General features: G+C 39.8%; 1 protein-coding gene across 20 annotated transcripts in view; it reads right to left on the minus strand.

Moving 5' to 3' along the window:
* The window catches only part of SOX5 (SRY-box transcription factor 5), a 1,033,147-nt gene that overhangs the window by 840,762 nt on the left and 167,412 nt on the right, over positions 1-24,973 (minus strand). The window lies entirely within an intron of this gene.

A 24,973-nucleotide genomic window follows, 5' to 3' on the forward strand; every position in this document is an offset into this window, starting at 1 on the left:
AGATGGAGACCATCCTGGCTAACACAGTGAAACCCCGTCTCTACTAAAAATAGAAAAAAAATTTAGCCGGGCGTGGTGGCAGGCCCCTGTAGTCCCAGCTGCTCAGGAGGCCGAGGCAGGAGAATGGTGTGAACCCAGGGGGCGGAGCTTGCAGTGAGCTGAGACTGCGCCACCGCACTCCAGCCTGGGCGACACTGCAAGACTCCGTCTCAAAAAAAAAAAAAAAAAAAGATGTATTGGTTTTGGCCAGGCACAGTGGCTCATGCCTGTAATCCCGGCACTTTGGGAGGCGAAAGCAGGTGGATTGCTTGATGCCAGGAGTGTGAGACCAGCCTGGCCAATATGGCGAAAACCTGTCTCTACTAAAAATACGAAAATTAGCCAGGCGTGGGGGCACGCGCGTGTAGTCCCAGCTACTCGGGAGGCTGAGGTGGGAGAATCGTTTGAACTCAGGAGGCAGAGGTTTCAGTGAGCCGAGATCGTGCCATTGTACTCCAGCCTGGATGACAGAACAAGATTCTGTCAAAAGACAACAACAACAAAATGACTGGTTTCCTAACAAAATATTAGTTAAGTCACATATTCCTTGTATTTCTCCTAAGTGCTTTGGTTGTTCCATGCAAGAAAATGCCTTGTTAATTTTTTTAAACAAATGACAATTTGGTAGAGAGAATAGGAAGAACACCCCAAAGATCCTACTGAAATGTTGAATATGCTCAGGTTAATGCCCAGGAATGTGAATATAATGGATTTTATTCCATGAATAGGTTATATTATATAACACAGGTGATTTTGAGACAGATTATCTACATGACCCTTACCTAATCAATTACGTATGTCTTTTACATTTTAGTCTAGAAGTTGAAGAGAAAATGGAGATCTGAAGCACGAGAAGGATTTGGCACACCACTGATGTCTTCAGAATAGAAAGTACACATGGCAAAGAATATAGGCAGCCTCTAGGGCCTACGGACAAGCCCTAGCTAACAGCCAGCAAGGAAGCAAGGACTTCAGTCCTAAAAATACAAAGAGCTGAATTCTGCCAAAAACAAGTATAAGTTCGGAGACAGATTTTTCCCCCCCAGGGCTACAGACAAAAACTCAGCCTGGACAACCTTGATTTTAGCCTCATGATACCCTGAACATAAAACCTAACCAGGCTGTGTTGGATTTCTGACCTTCAGACCTGTGAGCCAATAAATGGGCATTGTTTTAAGCCACTAAATTTGTGATAATTTGTTATACAGGATCACAGGCTTCTGCAAGTCTTATATCAACTTCTCTTTAGTCTTTCACCCTGAAAACAGGAGTCAGTTATGGGCTACGTTTCCTTAACCATATAGACACCAGATTGCTATTCCTGAAACTGACAATTCTTGTACCCACTCTGAATAACGAATACAAAACAAGGTACTAAGTTGTATGTAAAGAGATCATTTGTGCCAGGCGTGGTGGCTCACACCTGTAATCTCAACACTTCGGGAGGCCGAGACAGGCGGATCACCTGAGATCAGGAGTTCCAGACCAGCCTATCCAACATGATGAAACCTCATCTCTACTAAAAATATGAAAATTAGTCAGGCATGGTGGCACACACCTATAGTCCCAGCTACTCGTGAGGCTGAGGCAGAAGAATGGCTTGAACCCAGGAAGTGGAGGTTGCAGTGAGCCGAGATCATGCCACTGCACTCTAGCGTGGGTGACAGAGTGAGACTCTGCCTTTAAAAAAAAAAAAGAGAGAGAGAGAGAGATCATTTGGAAAACTCAACTGCCTACCTCCTGTGAGAAATGAACTCAAATACACAGTAAATTCCTTCCAACTTTTCTTAGGTCTTTTTAAAAGGTGAAAGTAAGTGGTAACTGCTGCTTCTTTTTTCATATTATTATACTTTAAGTTCTGGGGTACATGTGCAGAACGTTCAGGTTTGTTACATAGTTATACACGTGCCATGTTGGTTTCCTGCACTCATCAACCCATCATCTACATTAGGTATTTCTCCTAATGCTATCCCCACTAGCCCCCCAGCCCCCAACAGGCCCCAGTGTGTGATGCCGCCTACTCCTGTGTCCATGTGTTCTCACTGTTCAACTCCCACTTGTGAGTGAGAACATGCAGTGGTTGGCTTTCTGTTCCTGTGTTAGTTTGCTAAGAATGATGGTTTCCAGCTTCATTCATGTCCCTGCCAAGGACATGAATTCATCCTTTTTTATGGCTACATAGTATTCTATGGTGTCTAATGCCACATTTCCTTTATCCAGTCTATCACTGATGCACATTTGGGTTGGTTCCAAGTCTTTGCTATTGTGAACAGTGCCACAATAAAGATACATGTGCATGTGTCTTTATAGAGTGATTTATAATCCTTTGGGTATATACCCAGTAATGGGATTGCTGGGTCAAATTGTATTTCTAGTTCTAGATCCTTGAGGAATCACCACACTGTCTTCCACAATGGCTAAACTAATTTACACTCCCACCAACAATGTAAAAGCATTCCTATTTCTCCACATCCTCTCCAGCATCTGTTGTTTCCTGACTTTTTAATTGCTGCTTCTTTAAACAGACTTGGGGATGGGTGCAGTGGCTCACGTCTGTAATCCCAGTACTTTGGGAGGCCAAGGTGGGTCGCCTGAGCTCAGGAGTTCAAGACCAGCCTGGGAAAAATGGCAAAACCCCATCTCTACCAAAAAAAAAAAAAAAAAACTGCTGGGTGTGGCGGCACAGGCCTGTGGTCCCAGCTACTTGGGAGGCTAAGGTGGGAGGATGATGTAAGCCTGGGAAGTGGAGGCTGCAGGGAGCCGAGAACGCACCACTGCACTCCAACCTCAGTAACAAACCTGAGACCCAGTGTCAAGAGGAAAAAAAAAACCAGACTTGGAAAACAACCATATGTTCAGTGCAAAGTCTAAGTATTTGGAATGTGGGGATCATTGAAAAGGAATCTCTTCCAGTAGTTTTTCTAGAATATGTTTAGAATATGTTCCTATAGTTGCTCCCTATCTCATTCTCTTTCTATTCACTTACTGCAACACTACCATATTTTTTATAAAACACTAATCTTATCGTGTTGTGTCCTTGCTCAAAATGACCAAGTTAAATGACCTTCAAGATAAAGTCATTCATTCATTCATACAATATTTCAGTGTGTACAATATGCTAAATTCTGTGTTAGTTGAAGTCAGCATTCTTCAAAGAAATTTAGTTTCCTTTTCTTAAACATATGCAAGGTATAACAGGCAACTGGGTTGAAGCTGTATTTTTATCACCACAATAAATATATTCTTATTTTAAAATTGATATTATTTTTGGTTGACAAATCATAATTATATTACATTTATAAAGTAGAATGTTATATTTTGATATATGCATATGGGTGTATAGCTATGCACACAAACACAGATATCAAAATGGATATATATAGATATCTATATGTAAGTAGATATAGATTCTTAAACCATGACTAAAGGAATATTGAAATTATTTACTTTTTGAAACTAAGGTGACTGCCACTCGTAACAGATATGCTACTTTCTGAAATATTTCCAGATGCAGTTCCATATCATGTAAGTCTTATTCTTGCTGTCCCTAGATTAATGGCCTTTATCCTTTCAAGAGGAGGTTGGCCACCCTCTAGAACAGAGGGGCCACTAATCGGCTTTGAGTTTCAGAGCTAACCTTTGGAAATCTTAGATAACAAACTCGAATGACAGAATTTGAGAGTAAAAAGCAGTGAAGATCTCCAAGATATGTCCCTTTACAAAACAAAAGCAAAATGCAGATCATAAACAGCCAGTGTGGGAGCTCTCACACACCTAGGGAGGAAGAAGAGAGAATATTGGGCAAAGAAAGAGGTAGAAGAGGGATGAAGAGCTCAGAGGCGGGGTTCAGGCTTCCTCCATATTGGTATTAATATTTGGCTTCCAGGGCAGTGGTGCAGAAGCCTGTGAGTGGCACAAAGGAATCCGCAGCCCTGTGGGCTGACAGTCCTCTTTCATTGACATTTCTTGGTGGCAGGAGTTGAGGGTGGCAGCGAGAGCACAGGACTGTCTGGGAATCCCTGTTTTTAGTCTTGTGTCCATCTAACCTGGTGAGAGAGAAATAAAAAGCCACCGCTAAAGGAAGGAAAACGTCTGGATTGACTGAGTTAAAGTTGGTTATTTATTCCTCGTAGTTGGTGCCCATGTGCAGGGAAACTGAAAAGTCCTATGCTCTGTTCTGCCCTCTCCAGACCACCACACACACACACACATACACACACACACACACACACATGCATGCACAAAACAGAGGAAGACTGAGGAAGCCCTGGCATGGGGAGAAAAGGGGGAACCTCAAGTCCAAAGGCAATGGTAGGTCAGCAACAGATTCACTGGCTCAAAGTCCAGGTGGGGCCAATTGCATCAGCAGCTGATCCAACAAGGACAGAGCCCCTCAGGGTAGAGACCAGATTAGGGTGCAGAATCCAGGAAGGACACAGAGGTCAACTCAAGGACCAGCATGAATAAATGTGACAGCCCACACTCCCAGCCCTAGCCACAGTGATACAGCCTCCCCCAAAGATGGTTTCTTTAGTTGGGACAGAGGCAGGGCCTGCACTAGAGTGAGATTTGTGTAGTCACTAGGGTGACACGCAATTAAAAGAGGCATCATTGTTCTCAGGGCCCTGTGGGTGCAGGGTTGGCACCTGAGAGTGGTGTCTCTTATTTTTATTTATTTATTTTTTTGAGACAGAGTCTTGCTCTGTCACCCAGGCTGCAGTGCAGTGGTGCAATCTCGGCTCACTGCAAGCTCCACCTCCTGGGTTCACGCCATTCTCCTGCCTCAGCCTCCCGAGTAGCTGGAACTACAGGCGCCCGCCACTACGCCCAGCTAATTTTTTTGTATTTTTAGTAGAGACGGGGTTTCACCGTGTTAGCCAGGATGGTCTCGATCACCTGACCTCGTGATCCACCCGCCTCAGCCTCCCAAAGTGCTGGGATTACAGGCGTGAGCCACCGTGCCCTGCAAGAGTGGTGTCTCTTTACATTTTGCATCCTAGGCCCCTCCTTCACTCCATCCTGCTCCTGGGCCTGAACGGGGAAATGGAAAAACTAATAAACAAAGAGGATTTGACACAGCTATTTTGTGTTCACTTTTTATTCCCTTTCAACCTGCCCAGTAAGGTGAGGGGTCAGAAGCGAGAATAAGGCCGGGTGCGGTGGCTCACGCCTGTAATCTTAGCACTTTGGGAGACCGAGGCAGGTGGATCACCTGAGGTCAGGAGTTCGAGACCAGCCTGGCCAACATGGTAAAACCCCATCTCTACTAAAAATACAAAAAATTAGCTGGGCATGGTGGTGGGCACCTGTAACCTCAGCTACTTGGCAGGCTGGGGCAGGAGAATCGCTTGAACCCAGGAGGTGGATGTTGCAGTGAGGCAAGATCACGCCATTGCACTCCAGCCTAGGCAACAAGAGTGAAACTCTGTCTCAAAAAAAAAAAAAAAAAAGTGAGAATACATTATGGAAACAGCTCTATTTTTCTTTGTATATTAAAGTGGATGAACTTTGACCCCAATAGATGTGTCTCAAAAATTATTACACTATTTTATCAAATATTTCCCTATTTAAATTACTCCAACCGCTTTTAAAAAGTCTTTTTTTTTCTTTCCACCTTCTCTAAGTATATCAGGTCCACTTCTTCCCATGCTATTGAAAATTACATGTTATCTCACTCAGCATACAAAAGGAACCAAGCACTTCAATTTCCTAAGATTCACTAAGAAAGATGACCACTTCTACGCACTGCCAGCCTGAAGCGTATTTCCTAGCATCCTCTTCTGAAGTCTGCCAAAAAGATGCACAATCTAAAATCTAAAACTGTCATAAATCTGAGATACTATGGCAACTTGCCTAATTTAAACTTTTAAAATGTGCGTCATTGCTCCTTTTACAAATTCCAAGAACTTTTGCATTTTTTATCTAACACAGAGGTACTTGTGGAGGTAGCAGTGTTGCATTGGAACCCGCAGCTGGAACCCATGGGCCTTATTCTCTGGGTTTACCAGTTAGCTGAGGGTTCTTGGATGAGCCACTTGATCTTTCAGGGTATTACGTTAATCACATGAAAGAGCTGGTTGACACAACCTCTAAAGTTCCATCCTGCCCTAATATTTCTATCTTAAGTAGATGATAACTTCTGATGGCATCTTAACCTTGCAAATTCATGAATATAGGCACCAAAAAGCTAAACAATTTGCCAATCATGGTAGGAGAACTGGTAGCATGAAAAGACAGAGATGGTAAATGAGACTCAGATGGTCAATAATAATCATAAAAGCAAACATTTAGATATTTTATAGTAGCTCCTATGAGTAGGCAATGTGCTAAGCATTGTCATGTGTTACCTGGCTTAATTTTCAGAATGATGCTATGGGAGAGATACCTTTTTTTTTTTTTTTTTTTTTTTTTTTTTTTTTTTTTTTACAGAGTCTCACTGTCACCCAGGCTGGAGTATAGTGGTGCAATTAAGACTCACTGCAGCCTTGATCTCCTAGGCTCAGGTGATCCTCCCACCTCAGCCTCCTGAGTAGGGATTACAGGTGTGTGCCCCATGCCCAGCTAATTTTTTGAATTTTTTTTTTTTTGTAGAGATGGGGTTTTACCATGTTGCCCAGGCTGGTTTTGAACTCCTGGCCTCAAGCGATCCTCCCACCTCAGTCTCCCAAAGTGTTGGGATTACAGGCATAATCTCGACATGGCCCCACTGGGCCAGCCATCCTCTGCCCTAAACGTCTATCTTTGATGCATTTCTCCTCTTACAGATGTAGATTTGTCATGTTCCGCATCATTCATCTGACTGAAAACCAATATGCCAACTACAGCCCATACTGTGTACTACAGCAAAAGCACACTGCTCTTATCCATTGGAATATGGCTCCACAATCAAAAGTTTAATTTTTGCTCCTTTCCAACATACACTGACAGGGAAAGGTACTTTTATTATATTCATTTTATAGATGAGAAAACTGGCACAGAGAGATTAAGAAATGTGCTCAAGTTCACACAGCTAGAAAGTCTTCAGCTAGCTCTGCTCCCCCATTCATTGCATCCAAAACAATTCAATTAAAACATAATGAAAAGTGCATGACAAACAAAATTCTAGAATCACTGTACATTACAAATATTTAACATAACCATTTCTGAAACTAAAACTAACTAAGAATGCAGAAAAATGTTACTGAAAATTTACTTTCATGAGGTATCAGTGTATAGACGCAAAGTTGAAATTGGAAGACATAATCATGTGTTCATTTTATTCTAAAGATAAGAAAAATGAGTTGACTTAGGGTAGTGGCAGGACTGTGCCTGGAACCCAAGTACCCTCTTTTCCAGCCTCGTGCTCCTTCCACTGTTTTCCTAATACATATTTTTGGAAAGACAACAGGAATTCCTGTTCTCATTCACTAGCTGTATAATCTCTTGCCTCAGTTTCCACATCTGTAAAGTCTGAGAAACAATAATACCTACTGCATGTGGTTGTTGGGATCCTCACATCAAACACTTAGAACCATCCCTGGTACCCAGTAAGCCCCTAATGAGTGCTGGTCTTCATTATTACCACAATAGCAATAGAACATTTGGAAAATCAGAAGGTCAAAAGGTCAAGAGCCACTCAACAGCTTGGCAAGGAGAGCATAAAAGGCATGTAAATCGCATATGAGGTATTCCAGACTTTTCATGTAAAAACTCCATTCCTTACTCGCCTAAGCACACCATGGAAACAACAGAGGTAAATAAATTGTTGTGGGGACTAGAGATGCAGAAATCCTAAAAGAAGTAATTTTACTGGCAAAGTTTTAGGTAGAATTCCTAGCTTCCAGCCTTAGCTTCATCATTGATAGTTGAGCTGTGGAAAGTCAAATTTCGTCTTTGTGTCTCAGTTTCCTTCTTAGAGCTTCCCTATCCAGGGATACTTTTCAAAGTTTCTCAAATTTCATTAATAACCGGGGTCTAAAAGGAGATTCCATATATTAATTTTAAAAATTCTAACCAAATGAACAATGTACAATCTTGATTCCCAAAACTTTTCTTCATTCTATTTTGCATCCGATTTCCTGCCATTATTAACTCGGTTCTGATTATAGAAAAACATACATAATTTGCAATTCAAACAGTCTTTAATCTTAAAAGGGTTTCCATTGTGGAAGAGAGAACAAGTTCCCCTAGCTCTGTCCTTGGCATAGCCCATCACTTGCTCAAGGGATCTTAACTCATAAAGGAGGAGCACTGTATAGCTTTAAAATGACTTCATTCCCATATTTACATATTTTTAATAGGGCTATGATGAATCTCCTTCCGCTTGACTCCTATTTTGAGCTGTGATATTTTAATCTCCATTCTTGCTGCAACTTAGCAGATGAATGTGCAGTGTGACAGAGCTCAGAGGAAATAGTATAAATAAAGCAAAGTGGAGCTATGACATCTCACATTTTATAGCTTTTTTATTGTAGCCGAAGCATAAACAGAGCACAGCTGTGTTATACTTACCGCTGTGAGCACTCCCTCAATCCGCACCCCCTGTTGCTTTTAAAAAGACAGTGCTCTTATTCAAAAAGCTTTGGCTGTGGGTAACATGGCCCCACCGGGCCAGCCATCCTCTGCCCCAAACCTCTACCTTTGACGCATTTCTCCCCTTACAGATGTAGATTTGTCATGTTCCGCATCATTCATCTGACTGAAAACCAATATGCCAACTGCAGCCCATACTGTCCTACAGCAAAAGCACACAGCTCTTACCCATTGGAACACGGCTCCACAATCAAAAGTTTAAATTTTGCTCCTTTCCAACATACACTGCACCCAAATAATTTATGCACCCTCTCTTACTAGGAGACAGGAAATTAGCTGAAAGTATTCAAAACAGTGCACTCTCTTAATGAGAGCCCCCTTTTAAAATGAAGAAGTTGTATTTCTCACTTTCAAGTTAACTCTTAGTCATGTTTGAGTGAAAGTTGGAAATGCCAAAAAGGCCAAATAGAGTGAAAGTTAAAAGAGTGGTGTTGAGATGAACAAAATAATTCTACGTGCTAATGCAATCATCAGGTTTTAGAATGTTTCAGGCTGGTTACGTATTTCAATCATTCTGAAGAAGACAGTATGACGGATAGCATGCACCCTCTATCCCCTAGCAATTGAGATTATATAATATGGCTGATTTGTCCAGAACAGGCACCTGATCTAATCCAAGCCAATCAGAGTCTTTCCTTAAGATATCTGATTTAAGGAGAATGGATAAAGCAGTGAGCTATAAAATTCCAGTGCTGTCATCAATGGTGACATTTCCTCCCATATGGAGAAATCTCTATTGCAGCAAGAAAGAGTGAAGCCGACATTCAAAGTGACACAGAGACAAGAGAAAGGGATCAAGCCCTGACAAAGTGTGACTCCCGGGTTCCAACTGTTCCTGAGGCCCAACTACATTCCTGTCCTTTCCCCTCCTTGGTTATTTGCCTTCCTTGTATTCCTTTACCCAACAAATTCCAGGCTTATTTCTTAAACTTCCTCAAATCGGATTTTTACCACTTTAAAAAAAAAAAAGAGTCCTAATTATTACACCTTCCAGAAGATTCTTTTTTTTTTCTTCAGATGGGTTTAGATTTATTCTTCCTTTTTCAAATACCACCACACTATTTATGGGAGGGAGGGAAAACCCTCTGGGCTTGTAGAGGAATGTGTAATGAAAATTCAAAAGACACATGCATCCAAGTGAAAAGAATATAGGGGCATAGTAGCCTATACACCAGTGAAGTGAAATGAAAGACAGGAAGATTGATTTGCATCATCATTAACATGGAGGGAGAAAAGCACAAGAACACAATAACTGCAAGAACCACCTCCATTGACACACGTAATTGTTTCGAAACAACAGACTCAACTGGGCTAACATAGGGGCAAAGTTGGTATCCCAAGCTTCTCAGCTATCTATCCGCCCAAAGTTGCTCTTCTGCCAAGCTCATTGTTTACCAAGCTGCCAGCCCAGCCCAGGGATCTGATTAGCAATTTGCACTTTTGTGAGAGGATTAACAGAATTCCTTTGTTTTGATGTCGGATTATCAAACTGCATCTTTAAAGAGGTGTGACCTCATCCAGATTCATAAGCCTGCTCCCTTGAGAATGACTTGAATTTTACTCCACTTGCGCAACATATAATTTCATAAAGGAGTTACTGTCAAAACATGGTACTCAATTCTTGATGTGTGTGAAGAAGCACATTTGTAATGTAAATAACCTCAGAAGTTTTGTGATATTTTAAAATAACCCATCTGGTGGGAAAACAAGGATTTTCAACCCATTTGGTTCCAGCACTAGTAAATTAGTGTGCCTCTAACTCATAGAACCCAGAGATAAACTCCATCGCTGGGCTGAGCCTCATGTTGCTTTTATTTTAAAGGGCATGTATTTTAATTGTCCCAGAGTTCTTGATATATTTTTTTTAAAGGAGGGCACAATGCATAAGTGAGTAAACTGAGGAAAACCAAAGAATTTGGCTGCAAAGTGACAATGATATCAAATCATCTACAGCATAGTTCATATGAAAAAGGAAAATCAAATCAGAGTTTTGTATTTCTAACTGTATTCTGCAACAGTCAGCTAATCAGAAAAAGAAGTCCCTAAAATCTCCATCCAAATTTGAAACAAATAAAATTTCCAAGGGGGGCATCTATAGGGCAAGATGCAACAAATTAAGTGCAGACTTTGCACTACTGTAATCCTTACTTGAGGGGCACTCCTGAATAGAATGAAAAAGAACAGTGTGGCCTACGGAGGGCATGCATTACTAGTGTGAAGACCTTATCTTTGGAAGTACGTAAAAGCACAGCCTGGCCATGACAAATGCCCAAAACGCCAGACACGGCTGCAGATCAAGTTGTGGCTTTACTCATTGACCAACGAAAAACCAAAACAACAAAACAATAAAAACATTCTGTTTCATAAAGAGGAAACAAGTATAATTAAATATGTATATTTACTTTTAATATCAATTAGACTGTTAACCTAAAGTTGATAGATTTTAGAATGTTTCTTTCAATTAGCAAACTTTCAATTATACAGTGAGAGTACTAGGCAGGCCCTGATAAATAAGGCAGAAGGTGTGTTTGTCTGAAAGCATAGTACATACACACATGTCTGTTACATCAATAGTTCTTAATGGGTGGTTGTGTGGATTAATTAAATCACATGGAAAATAGTTTTTAAAATACCCAAGTCACGTATTCCCACCTTATAGCCAGTGGATGGGGTGAGAGCATGTTTTTCTAAAAAAATCTCAATTAGTATTCAATGAATGCCTCCTTAAACAGCTCTCTCTTATATTTAGAAATTGCCCTTCTACGTGGATTATTTCCTAGTCTTGCCTTACTCGTGAAATTGGAGAAGTCTTTAAAAAGGTGGATCATGTCTCTTATGAGCCTCATACAGTGACCCACACATAGTTTTTTGTTCAAATATCAAGTTGGATAAATAAATTCAAAAGACAGTGGTTAATTAATATAGATGTGATAGATGTATCTTAGCAGAGAAAAACTTCAGGGAGAGTAGGAATGAACACTAAAAATAACTAAGAATTTGACTTTAACCCCAAAGCTTCCTACATGGAATTCAAAAAGAAAACAATGTACATTATTTATGACTTCTCTGACCATAAATACAGAACACCAGCCAAAATCGGCCTGAGATTATTCATGTATGCAACAAGTATTGTTCCATTTGCGAGGAACTATCCTGGGCTCTAGAGATAGACCAGTAAACAAAACAGAACAAGTTCCTTGCCCTCACGCAGCTAATATTCTTAGGGAGATCAAAAACAAACAAGATAAATGAACATATGTATATACACACATTAAGTTAGGGAAGTGCTAAGGAGAAAAATTAAAGTAGGGAGAAAAGCAAGTCTTTGGTAGTAGAAGGGAGGGCCTCCGTAAGAAGCTGCCATTTGAGTCAAGATTGGAAGAAAGTGTTGGAATGAGTCACGCGGTTAACAGAGCAGAGACCACCACAGGCTGAAGGAACCTGGAGGAGAGCAAAGGCCCCAGGAGAGTTGGTGGCTTCCACCACATAGGAGAAAGAGCAACGGGCAGTATGGTAGTATGGTAGGGAGGAAAATGGCGGAAGGGGAAGTCAATGAGGAAAGGGGGTATGGAGGAAAATGGCGGAAGGGGAAGTCAGTGAGGAAAGGGGGTAAGGGCTGACTCTGCTCCTCAAGGGTCATAGTAAGGACTCCCCTGAGGTAGGAAGCCATTGGAGGTCACTGAGCACAGGATGACATCTGACTAATCTGATTTACACTTCAAAGGTTCACCCTGGCCACGATTTGTGAGAAGACTAAAAAGGAGCCAGTAGAGGAGAAGTCCAGTTAGGAGCCTATAGCCACAATGAGAAATGATGGTGGCTTGACCAGACAGGAAATAGCGGAGGTGGTGAGAGGTGCTCAGATTCTGGAACTATTTTGAAGGTAGTTTTGTTGAGGCGTTAGATGTACAGTAAAAGCAAAAGAGAGGAGTCAAGGATGATAATGAGGTTTTGGTTCTGAGCAATGGGAAGAATAGATTTACCCTTAACTAAACAGAAGACTTCAGGGAGAGCAAGTCTGAGGGACACATCAGGATACCAGTTTTGCATGTGCCAAGCAGAGCTATCAGGTAGTCATGTGGATACGTGTGTCTGGAGTTTAGAAACGAGGTTGCAATGTAAAAGAAATGTATATCCCCAAATAAGAGTTGTCCTAGCTCTGACCACTACAAGTGGCAGGTTCCAAATGAGTATATATGTATGTATTTATTGATTGTGATTGATTGAGAATGCGATCTCCCTATATTGCCAAGGCTGGTCACCAACTCCTGGGTTCAAGCTATCCTTCCACCTCTCCCTCCCTAACAGCTGGGATTATAGGTGTGAACCACCCCGCCTGGCCCAAATGAGTCTTTATTTAAAAGATACAGCAGAATTGACAGTGTCTTTGATGATGGTCTTTAAAAATCACAACTACCTTTATGTAACGATTTGTTTTTAATAGAGACAATTCCTTAAAGCTAATTCTATACAGATAAATCATAAGGAACTAAATTCACTGTCCACATATGTAGTTACATGGGTCCTCCCTTATCCATGATTTTGCTTTCTGTGGTTTCAACTAACTACAGTCAACCACAGTCCAAAAATCTTCAATGGAAAATTCCAGAAATAAACAATTCATAAGTTTTCTATTGTGGGAGTAGCATGATAAAATTTTCCTGCTGTCCCACTCTGTCCTGCCCAGGACATGACTTCTCCCTTTGTCCAGCAAATCCCCACTGTCTATGCCACCTGCCTGTTAGTCACTTAGTAGCAGCTTGGTTATCAGATCCAGCGTCATGGTATCACCATGCTTCTGTTCAAGAAACCCTTATGGCAGCAGTCCCCAAACTTTTTGGCACCAGGGACAGGTTCTGTAGAAGACAATTTTTCCAAGGACTGGTTGGGGGGTACTGGGGCTTGGGGAGTGGTTTCAGGATGAAACTACCACCTCAGATCATCAGGCATTAGTTAGTGATACGGTTTGGCTGTGTCCCCACCCAAATCTCATCTTGGATTATGGCTCCCATAATCCCTAAGTGTTGCGGAAGGGAACCTGTGGGAGGTAATTGAATCAGAGGGGCAGTTATCTTCATGCTGCTCTCATGATAGTGAGTTCTCACAAGATCTGATGGTTTTATAAGCGGCTTTTCCCCCTTTGCTTGGCACTTCTCTCTCACGTGCTGCCATGTAAGATGTGCCTCTTCCTCTACCGCCATTATTGTAAGTTTCCTGAGGCCTCTCCAGCCATGCAGAGCTATGAGTCAATTGAACCTCCTTCCTTTATAAATTACCCAGTCTCAGATATTTTTTTCATAGCAGCATGAGAACAGACTAACACAGTTAGATTCTCATAAGGAGTGCACAACCTAGATCCCTCGCATGCACAGTTCACAATAGGGTTTGCGCTCCTACAAGAGTCTAGTGCCATGGCTGCTCTGATAGGAGGCGGAGCCCAGGTGGTAATGCTGGCTCACCTGCTGCTCGCCTCCTGTTGTATGGCCCGGTTTCTAATAGGTCACGGACTGATACCAGTCTGCATCCCAGGGACTGGGGACTCCTGCCTTATGGTACCTCACAATGTGCCCAAAGCATAAGAATCATAGTGATGCTGGCAATTTGGATATGCAAAAGAGAAAGGGTAAAGTGCTTCCTTTAAAAAGTGAAAAGGTGAAAATTCTTGACTTAAGAGAAAAAAATCTTATGCAGAGGCTGCTACGGTCCACGGTAAGAACTAATTTATCTGTGAAATTGCAAAGAAGGAAAATGAAGTTAATGCTCATTTTACTGTTGCACCTGAAACAGCAAAAGTTATGGCTACAGTGCATGATAGGTGCCTAGTTAAGACGAAAAAGGCTATGAACTTTGTGGGTGGAGGACATGAACGGAAATGAGTTCCAACTCATGGGAATGTGTTGCCCCTCAAAGTATTGAGCTTAAATGAAGATTTCAGCAAGGGATCTCCTGAAACGAGTAATATCAAACCATTTACTGGAAACAAGGGATGGTTACACAGATTCTGCAATACAGAAGGTCAGTAGTAGCCTAAGACTAAGTCACAATACTGACGGCATTTATCTCGCTTCATCTCATCATGTGGGCATTGTACCACCTCACATCATCACAAGAAGAAAGCTGAATCCAGTATTTAAGATATTTTGAGAGAGAGAGAGAGAGAGACAGACCACATTCATATAATTTTATTATGGTATATTGTTATAATTGTTCTATTTTATTATTTGTTACTGCTGTTAATCTCTTATTGTGCCTAATTTCTAAATTAAATTTTATTAAAGATATGTATATGTAAGAGAAAACACAGTACAGACTGTCCCCAACTTACAATTCTACTTATGAAGTTTCCACTTTACAATGGTGCAAAACCATTCTGTTTTTCACTTTCAGTAATCAATAAATTACATAAGATATTTAATCCATTATGACAACATAGGCTTTGTGTTAGATGGTTTTGCCAAACTGTAGGTTAATGTAAGTTTTCTGAGTACATTTAAGGTAAATTAGGCTAGCTATGATGTTTAGTAAGGTAAGTTTACTAAACGCATTTTTGACTTAACAGTATTTTCAATTTACAATGGGTTTATCAGGACATAACCCCATTGTATGTCGGGAGCATCTGATACACGACTAGAGTTAAGATAATCCAGAGAAATAAATGTTAGCAACATCCCTGCACATGTGTGTCTCACACCTTTCCAGGAATGGCAAAAAAACTTACACTTTGGGTTCTGAGGGTATGTTGGGACGTCATGCTGAGTACGCTTTAAATTTGATGTTTTATCTTTAAGATTTATATGGCAGCCGGGCATGGTGGCTCATGCCTAGGCTGAGGTAGGAAGATCACTTGAGCTCAGGAGTTTGAGACCAGCAGGGGCAACGTAGTGAAATCTCATGTCTACCAAAAGAATTAGCTGGTCATGGTGGTGCATTTCTATAGTCCCAGCTACTCAGAAGGCTGAGGCAGGAGGATCAATTGAGCCCGGGAGGTAGAGGCTGCAGTCAGCTGTGATCATGCCACTCCAGCCTGGGCAACAGAGCAAGACCTTGTCACAAAAAAAAAAAAAAAAAAAGAGAGAGAGATTTATGTGGCATTTTAAAAATAAATTTAAAAGATCAAATGTTTTAAAATCTTTACTAACTACAGTAACCTCTCACTTAACATTTTTGATAGGTTTTGGAAACTGTGATTTTAAGCTAAACAAAGTATGGTATATCCTCAAATAATATTGTCTAGTTCAACTTCATTTCATTACAACATTAATGAGGAAAAAAATTGGTTCCATTATATGCTGTTTCACTTAGAGTTGCAGTTTTCAAGTCTATTGACAATGTTAAGTGAGGATTTACTCTACCTAACTTTCCCAAAATTACTATAGTAAATTAACTTTGATAATTGCCTGCTACTTTACAATCATTATCATCACGTCATCACTATCATCATCATCATAGCTGTCTTTTATTAAACCCTACTAGGTTCTGGGCTTTATATTTTACTTTTATAGTACCTCAAACCAGGCCCTGTGTATTATATGTATTAAATATAAGTGTAATTAATACTATTATCAATCCTATGTTATTCATAAATATTTCTAACACTAAGGCCAGACGCTTCATGAAAACATCTTATAAATAGAAAAACTGCTTTCTCTCTATATGAAATAAACAACAGTGAAGAATAAAACAACATACATAAATATATGAAATTGGCAAGAATTGAGAAATCTGTACTCCTGGGTACTTGTCATATACTTGGGGAATACCTGTCAGAACAATAGCTTTTTACAATATCCTACCCCAGGATCCATACAGTATATCAACAATCTATTTATTTGACTTGCAAGTTAATTAAAATTACAATAGCACTTGTAGAAATAAAGAACAAGGAATCTAAAACTATTGGTCTTTAGTAAATAATGAAACAATGTAAAAAATATTGAGGCAGGAGAATTATGTAATTTCTAAAAATCCAAGTAGTCTTTAATCAAGTATTTGAGATATAGCTGAAGGTCCAGAAAAAAAGATAAATAGAAAAGTATATTTCTACAGGCTTGAGTATTCCTTCCAAATCCCACATCCATTTAAGTTGGCAGGGCATATCAGTGGTTTATTTGGACATTGTCCACATTTGTAAATGAGCATCTTCGTTTCTGTATTTTGGCACGGGGCCATGTAAATGATTATACTGGTATATATTTAATGTAGTAGATATAAAACATGGCACAAAGTAGAAGTACCAATTTTAGAAAACCATAAAACTCATCAAATAACTTCTCAAACGTCTTCAACATAAGTAGCCTGCAAACCATGAGTTGCTGGATACAGCATCTCCATTAACATGGTCATTTGAGTAACTTTCCATCCTCCTCACATATCAGTTTCATCCTATCCCTGTAGATCAAGCTTGTCCAACCCACAGCCCAGGACGGCTTTGAATGTGGCCCAATACAAATTTGCAAACTTTCTTAAAACATTGAGATTTTTTTGCAATTTTTTAAAGCTCATCATCTATCGTTAGTGTTAGTGTACTTTATGTGTGACCCAAGACAATTCTTCGTTTTCCAGTATGACCCAGGGAAGCCAAAAGATTGGATACCCCTGCTGTAGATCCTGTCTCTGCAAAAGGAGTGATGCATGGCAGAGACTCAGATGTGCATTCCCTGGGGGTCTATTCTGTCACCCTCTTCAAATCACTCCAGGAGATGGAGTGAGTCTTGGTGAAACATGCTGGAGAAAAGACACACAAGCTTCTCTGACATCTTTCATGAAAGATGACGATAATTTTCTTACAGGGAATATTAAGGCCTTTTTACTGTCATTTTAAACTAAAAAGGAAAGTAGGACTAATATACATAATCAGTAAAATTGTTAAGTAGGCAAATTTTATTTCTCCAAATCCTACATCTTCTTTGATGACAAGCTTCTTTCTTTTTCTTCTGTCACTTCTCTCCCCAGACTGTCTCTGGCCACAGTTAAGTCCAATTTATTTATTCACATGGGGTTGAATCCCAACTGAGCAGCTCATACTCAGAATATTCCCTCTGCTTTCTCACTCTCCCCATCAAAATGCACCCACTTAATGGTCTATTAGCCAAAGCCCAAACTTTGAATTTCCAAGATCACAGCTGGCCAAACGATAATACAATTGGTGTCAATATGCCAGTGGTTAGAGGCAGAAATAGAGTTTGCAAGGGAACTTCAGAAGTAATTCAATCCTTCACTTAAAACTGGAATCTTGTACGTAATTTCACCATCACCATCTCAGATTTTGTCAGACCCTCTTTCCAGAAATCAAAATTCACTTCATTTGGAGGTAACACATATAATTCTAATCTTCCTCTACTGGTCTCAGTTTTGGAGTGACACAAAGTCACTTATCTTCACATCCAGATGCAAGCTCGACCCTTTGCCCAGCTTGGTGCCCTAGGATGCTGACTGCCATGGATCACATCAAAAGACGCCCCTGTTCCAGGCTTCTGATTGGGTTTTGAAAATGGGAGGCATCAGAGGAGATTAAACAGTAGAAGAGTGAGGTCAGGCCATGCATTCCTGCAGCCCTGCCTTGAAGGTGACTGTCAGAGCACGGTGATGTCTCTCCATTCAGATGGGCCTCTCCAATACAGTGCTTTTTCTGGTTCCTTCAGGCCCAGGGGTGGTGACAACAGCCTGCTATCATTATCCCCAGAGTAGGGTACCAATCCTCATTCTCCTTGGTTTGTTTTCTTTAAAACAACTTTTTTGAGATGTTTATATAATACAATTCACCCATTCAAAGCATACAATTCAATGACTTTTAATATATTCACAAAGTTGTTCAATCATCACCACCAATTTTTGAACACTTTCGTCACCCCAGAAAGAAACTCCATGCCCCATCAGCAGTCATTCCCAATTTCTTGCCAACTTTGCATCCCCAGGTAGCCATGAATGTACTTTCTGTCTCTATATATTTGGTTGTCTGGATATCCATTTCATATAGATGGAATCATACAACACGTGTTCTCTCTTGTGACTGGCTTCTTCCACTTAGCATAAAGTTTTCAAGGTTCATCTACATTGTAGCATGTATCAATATATTATTTTTATTTTATTTATTATTATACTTTAAGTTTTAGGGTACATGTGCACAATGTGCAGGTTAGTTACATATGTATACATGTGCCATGCTGGTGTGCTGCACCCATTAACTCGTCATTTAGCATTAGGTATATCTCCTAAAGCTATCCCTCCCCCCTCCTCCCACCCCACAACAGTCCCCAGAGTGTGATGTTCCCCTTCCTGTGCCCATGTGTTCTCATTGTTCAATTCCCACCTATGAGTAAGAATATGCGGTGTTTGGTTTTTTGTTCTTGCGATAGTTTACTGAGAATGATGATTTCCAATTTCATCCCTGTCCCTACAAAGGACATGAACTCATCATTTTTTATGGCTGCATAGTATTCCATGGTGTATATGTGCCACATTTTCTTAATCCAGTCTATCATTGTTGGACATTTGGGTTGGTTCCAAGTCTTTGCTATTGTGAAATTTTATTGTATGTGTACCTCTTTTTTCATCAACTTTTAAGTTCCAGAGTACATGTGCAAGATATGCAGGTTAGGTAAACGTATGCCATGGTGATTTGCTGCACAGATCAACCCATCACCTAGGTATTAACCCAGCATCCATTAGCTATTCTTCCTGACATCATTTCTTTTCATTGCCTAGCAATATTCCATTGCATAGATATACCACATTTTATTTATCCATCAGTTGATGGATATTTGGTTGTTTCAATGTTTTGGCTATCATGAATAATTCTGCTATGAACACTGTATATAAGTTTTTGTGTGAACACATGTTTTCATTTTGCTTGGGTGGATACCTAGGAATGGACTTGCTAGATCATATGGTAACTCATGAGGTTTAACATTTGAAGGAGCTGCCTGACTGTTTTCCAAACAGCTGCCCATTTTACATTCTCAATGGTGGTGTATGCAGGTTCTAATTTCTCCATATCATCACCAAGACTTGTTATTTTCTGTCTTTTTTATTGTAGCTATCCTAGTGTGAAGTGGTATCTTACTGAGGTCTTGGTTCTTAAGCCCTGTCTATATTCTTATAACTACTTCCCTTATTAAATTCTCCTCAAATCATTTCCTTTAAGACCATCATTTGTTTCTTGCCTGACTCTGATGGACTCAAAGGTGATACTTTTTTGAAGGCTGTTTTGAAATCCTCCCCAAGTTTCTCGTTTTCCAGCTACTCAACTCCTCTTTATATGAACTCTCAGTTTCTAGATTTATCCTCTAATTCACCAGCTTTAGACATTAAATTGTCAAGGTCCTTCCAATTATTTTACACACGTAACATTATGTGAATTGACCAGGATACATTTTACTGGGTGATTATCTCATTGGTTATGAACACTATCTTCTATTAATGACGTTAAAGGTGACAACACCTCTTGCTTGAGCAGCTATGCCTTACTGTTGACTTATATTGAACATAAAATCAACCAGAATATTTTGACAGTTGAAAATTAAACCTGTAATTGACCAATGAATTTTTAGATTACATGTATAATGTTTTTATAGATTTAGGGGGTACGCATGCAGTTTTCTTACATGGATATATTGCATAGTGATGAAGTCTGGGATTTTAGTGTACCCATTGCCCAAATAGTGTACATTGTCCCCATTAAGTAATTTATCATTCCTTACCCCGCACCCTTCCAAGTTTCTAATGTCTATTATTCCCCTCTCTATGTCCATGTATACACATTATTTACCTCCCACTTATAAATGAGAATATGTGGTATGTGACTTTCTCTTTGAATTATTTCAATTAAGATAATGGCCTCCAGTTCAATTCATGTTGCTGCAAAAGATAGGATTTCATTCTTTTTGAGGGCTGAGTAGTATTCTGTGGCATGTGTACATATGTGTGTGTATATAAACCACATTTTAGTCATCCATTAATGGACACTTAGGCTGATTCTATATCTTTGCCATTGTGAATAGTGCTGTGATAAACATGCGAATGCAGGTATACCTTGGACATATTGATTTATTTTCCTTTGGACAGACATCTAGTAGTGGGACTGCTGGGTCAAATGGTAATTCTATTTTTAGTTCTTTGATAAATATACTGTTTTCCATAGGATTGTACTAATTTACATTCCCACCAGCAGCATACAAGTGTTCTCTCTTCTTCCCATTCTCACCAACATCTGTTGTTTTCTGACTTTTTAATAATAGCCATTTTGACTGGTGTGAGATGGTATCTCACTGTGGTTTTAATTTGCATTTCTCTGATGATTAGTGATGTTGAACATTTTTTCATGTTTGTTGGCTGCTTGTATGTCTTCTTTTGAAAAACGTTTCTTCATGTCCTTTACCCACTTTTAAAAGGAGTTACTGGTTTTTTAAGTAGAATTATTTTAACACTATTAAATTTTATCTCATTATGTTTTGACCAACTTAGATCCTATCACAAACTTCCTGAACACCAAATGAGATAAAATGGGTAAAAGTACATGTATAGGTACATGCTTTCCAAAGAAAGGAGATCAAACTTTTACTTTCTTCAACTTCTTTCATAGAAGTTCTTAATAAAAATAAAGAGGATAACCCAATGAATAAAAACGGTGGCACCTAACTACAGACGTCTCTTTAGCTTGATAGAGATATACTAATCTAGTTCCCTTACGTACAGTTCTTCGGCTATTAATCCATATTACCATACTGTCAACTAAATCAAATGTTATGATATATTATGAATCTACCTTTTACAAATCATGATATTGGATAACAGGATGGCTCTATTAAAAGAAGTAAATTAATTTTGCATTATTAGATCTTTGAGAACCCATACTGGCTTCTGGTGAACACTGCTTTCTTTCTAAGTGGTCAGAAATGATCTGCATAATAACACAATCTAGGATTTCACTAATTTCTTAAAAGGTAACATATAGAAAATATAAACGTTTCCTTCATTTTAAATTCAGGGTAACATTTACTCAACTTGAGTCTCTTGATGCTTTTCTTCTACAGGTTATTTCAAATGTTACCAACAATAGGTCTTCAAAAACAAGTTAGTAGCCACCCCACCCTCTCTTCTTTCCTCTCCCAATGAGTATGACTTAATTATGGGTACTCACACTTTCAATACTGAAACTCAAAGCAACTAGCTATGGAACTTGACAGTTCTCCTTTCCTCATCTCCTGCATTCAGCTAGATCTATTCAAAATGGGAGTAGATCACTTTTCACATCTTGACTTCTCACAACTCCACTGCTGTCACTCTAGTGCAAGCTTAAAGTCCCTCTCACTGCGCTATTGCAATGGTCTTTCCACCTATCTCCCTGTTCGAGTCTTATCCTCCAGTCTGTCTATTCTCCCCACAGTAGCCACAGTAAGCTTTGCAAAATGTTCATCTGACCAAGTCACTCTCCGACTTACAATGGGCTTCCCATCACACTTAAGATTAAAATCCAAGTGATCTTACTATGCCTTCCTTTCCACCCTAACGCCCCCACCAGCAGCAGCTCTTTTAACTACTCTAGCTTTCTTGCTGTTCCTGGAAGTTAAGAAGCTCAGTGTCTCTTCTGGGTTTTTGTCTGCCATTTTCTCTCCCCAGAGTCTCCCCACAGATCTTCACATGACTTGTTTCTCATCATTCAGGTCCCAGATGTCATCTCCTCAAGAACTTTCACTGGTCTCATTGTCTAAATCAGTACCCCCAACCCTACCCTCACCCTGTTTTATTTCTTTCATCTGATTAATCGCTATCTTCACCTATTATATATTTATTTATTTCCATCTCTACCCCTAGAACCCAAACGCTTTGAGAGCAGGGACTTTTGTTTTGTTCATTAGTATATTACTGGCATTTATATTAATAATGGACACATAGTAAACACTCAAAAAATAATTTTTAAATGAATTGAATGAGTACCCCAAAGGAACACATCTAAGACTATAACTTATAATAATACATTTCTCCCTGTGGACACAGGGAGAAACATGTAGGACTGGGGACAGATTCGGCAAGTCTTCCCATCACACTGGGCTTTAGGGCCCCCATGTGAGAGCCTAGAGTCTTCATGTACTAACTACATCAATCAATAGACCAACAGTCCAGCCCAAACCCTCTGTTATCAAAGAACAGCAGCATATGAGAGGCTTCAATCTTGAGTGTGTGGGGGCATAAGTATTTTTTTCTTTTCTATCTCAACCACCACTCTCCCAATTATAATAAATGAATAAAGTAGATTGAAGCTAAGAAAAAAAATACAGCAAAATTAGAAGCTGGCAAAAAAACAAACCCACTGCCTGGGGCAGCCTGGGGCTGATGGATGATGACAGCTAGCAGACAAATCCTGTTCCCCATTCTAAATTCTGTCTACTAAACAAATTAGCAAGCTCATCAATAACTGCACGGCATTTACCTTCTGCAGCAACAGCTGCTGCAAAATCATGCTGCTGACTTTTTGGGTTGTGGTCTTGCCATTGGGACACAATTACAGGCCAATCAGGGTCGGAGATAACAGAATGACAATCCAGTATGACAGAAAAGGGTTTTGCAAGGGCTTGGAGGATAATCAGCTTTAGGGTCATCTGTACTGAGTCTACCACCCACCCCAAAATAAGTAGGTATCTGAATAATGAGATCTGTAAAATTGATTCTTGCATTAGAAATTTACTGTGAAAAACTTACAATAAAAACATTAAGTAACTAAGCAAAAAATTATGAAATAGATAATCTTTTATACGGATTACGCTTTAAGACATGGCCCTTGTCATGGAAACTAGTGCTTAATGTAGAAATTATTAAAATTTGGCAAAACTTTTCTATTCTTTAAAAAATTATGACACAATACTATCTTCCATTTGGGGATGAAAGAAACTTTGTTTCCCATCTTCAAAGAAGTGGGGAAATTTAAGACTACATATTACATATGCAATACAACACATACCTCTTTCTTCAAAAGTTTAAAAGAGAATAGCAAAAGAGAAAAGACTAATTTTACATAGAATGGTTTGTATGCACACCTACATGAAGATAAAGATGGCAAAATATTCTTAAAATACCCTGCGTGGGGAAAAATAAAACCGTGAGTGGCTGAAGAACACACAATAGCATTCAGAACAGAGACCTGACCACACTATTAATTAATTAGGGGAAAGGTGGCTGAAAGAAATCGGAAGAGACTGCCTGGGTCTATTTCAGGCATTTTTCTCGTTAGAGCTCCGAAATTCATCAGAGTGGGTTTTATCACACACAACAAGGGAAGCCTGCATTTCTCTTGGGCTAATCATGCCCCATCATACTAAGAGGTCACAAAGCAGCAGGGCCATCCCATGAGAAGGCGATCTCATCCTCACCTGAGAAGGAAAAAGAAATTCATCAAGAACCCTACTATAGCCGAGAGAAGCCAAGAAACAGCACAGAGAGGTGCCAGGTACATATTAGTTTCCCAAAAGTCTTCAGCAAATCCTACAGATTTCAGGAATCATTGCAGAGGCTGCTTCCCAAGACTGATCTGCAGGAGCCCGGCCGCCACTGATGTTGCTATTCTTAGCTGACATTTGCTGACCTGACCATCCAGACCAAGCTGAAGGAGGAGCTGGCTGATGCAGGGGCTAGACATCAAGGTCTTTACCCTTTGAAGAGGTCTCACAGGACAGATGTGGTGATTTCCACCTCTTCTCTGCTCTAAGCATTGGGTATCTATCTTACTAAGGCACTTACCAAGTTGTGCAATTAATATTTGTACAAATATCCATATCTCTATCTGATTGTGATGAAGTATGCTTAATTCTTTTGGGGGCACAGGTAGAACAATGCCTGAAAAAGTTGATCAGTGTTCAATAAGTGGCAAGTAAAAGGTTGTTTTTATGTTCACACTACCCTTAAGTTAAAATGAAGATGAAAACAAGACCAAAGGGCATCATTTCGAAAAATAAAAATTGTAGTTCAATTTGCTCCCAATCATGTTGTGTTATTCTTATTGGCTTTTGGCAGAAGCCTAACTTCTTTTATTTTTTTCAAATTACGATACGCCTTTTCACTACATGGTAGGCTTCAAGAGGCCAGAGACAATTTTCTTTCCCCTAACACAAAGCTTGATGATCTCAAAGATTCTCAATAAATGACTGTTGATTAATGAGTATTCTACTATAGCCAGCCCGATATTAATGATTCTCCCATTTCCTTCCAACATTTATTATACATTTCTTAGAAAAAACAAACTTGTTTTAAATGATCAGTCCTTTTCTTCTTCCATGAATAAGAACTTTACCTAAAATGTCCTACCACAGGGATGAGAACTTCGCAATCACTCCCCTCAGGTACAGAGCCTGGAGAATAAGGATGGAGAACA

This window comes from Homo sapiens, chromosome 12, assembly GCF_000001405.40.
Source record: "Homo sapiens chromosome 12, GRCh38.p14 Primary Assembly".
Taxonomy (NCBI): domain Eukaryota; kingdom Metazoa; phylum Chordata; class Mammalia; order Primates; family Hominidae; genus Homo; species Homo sapiens.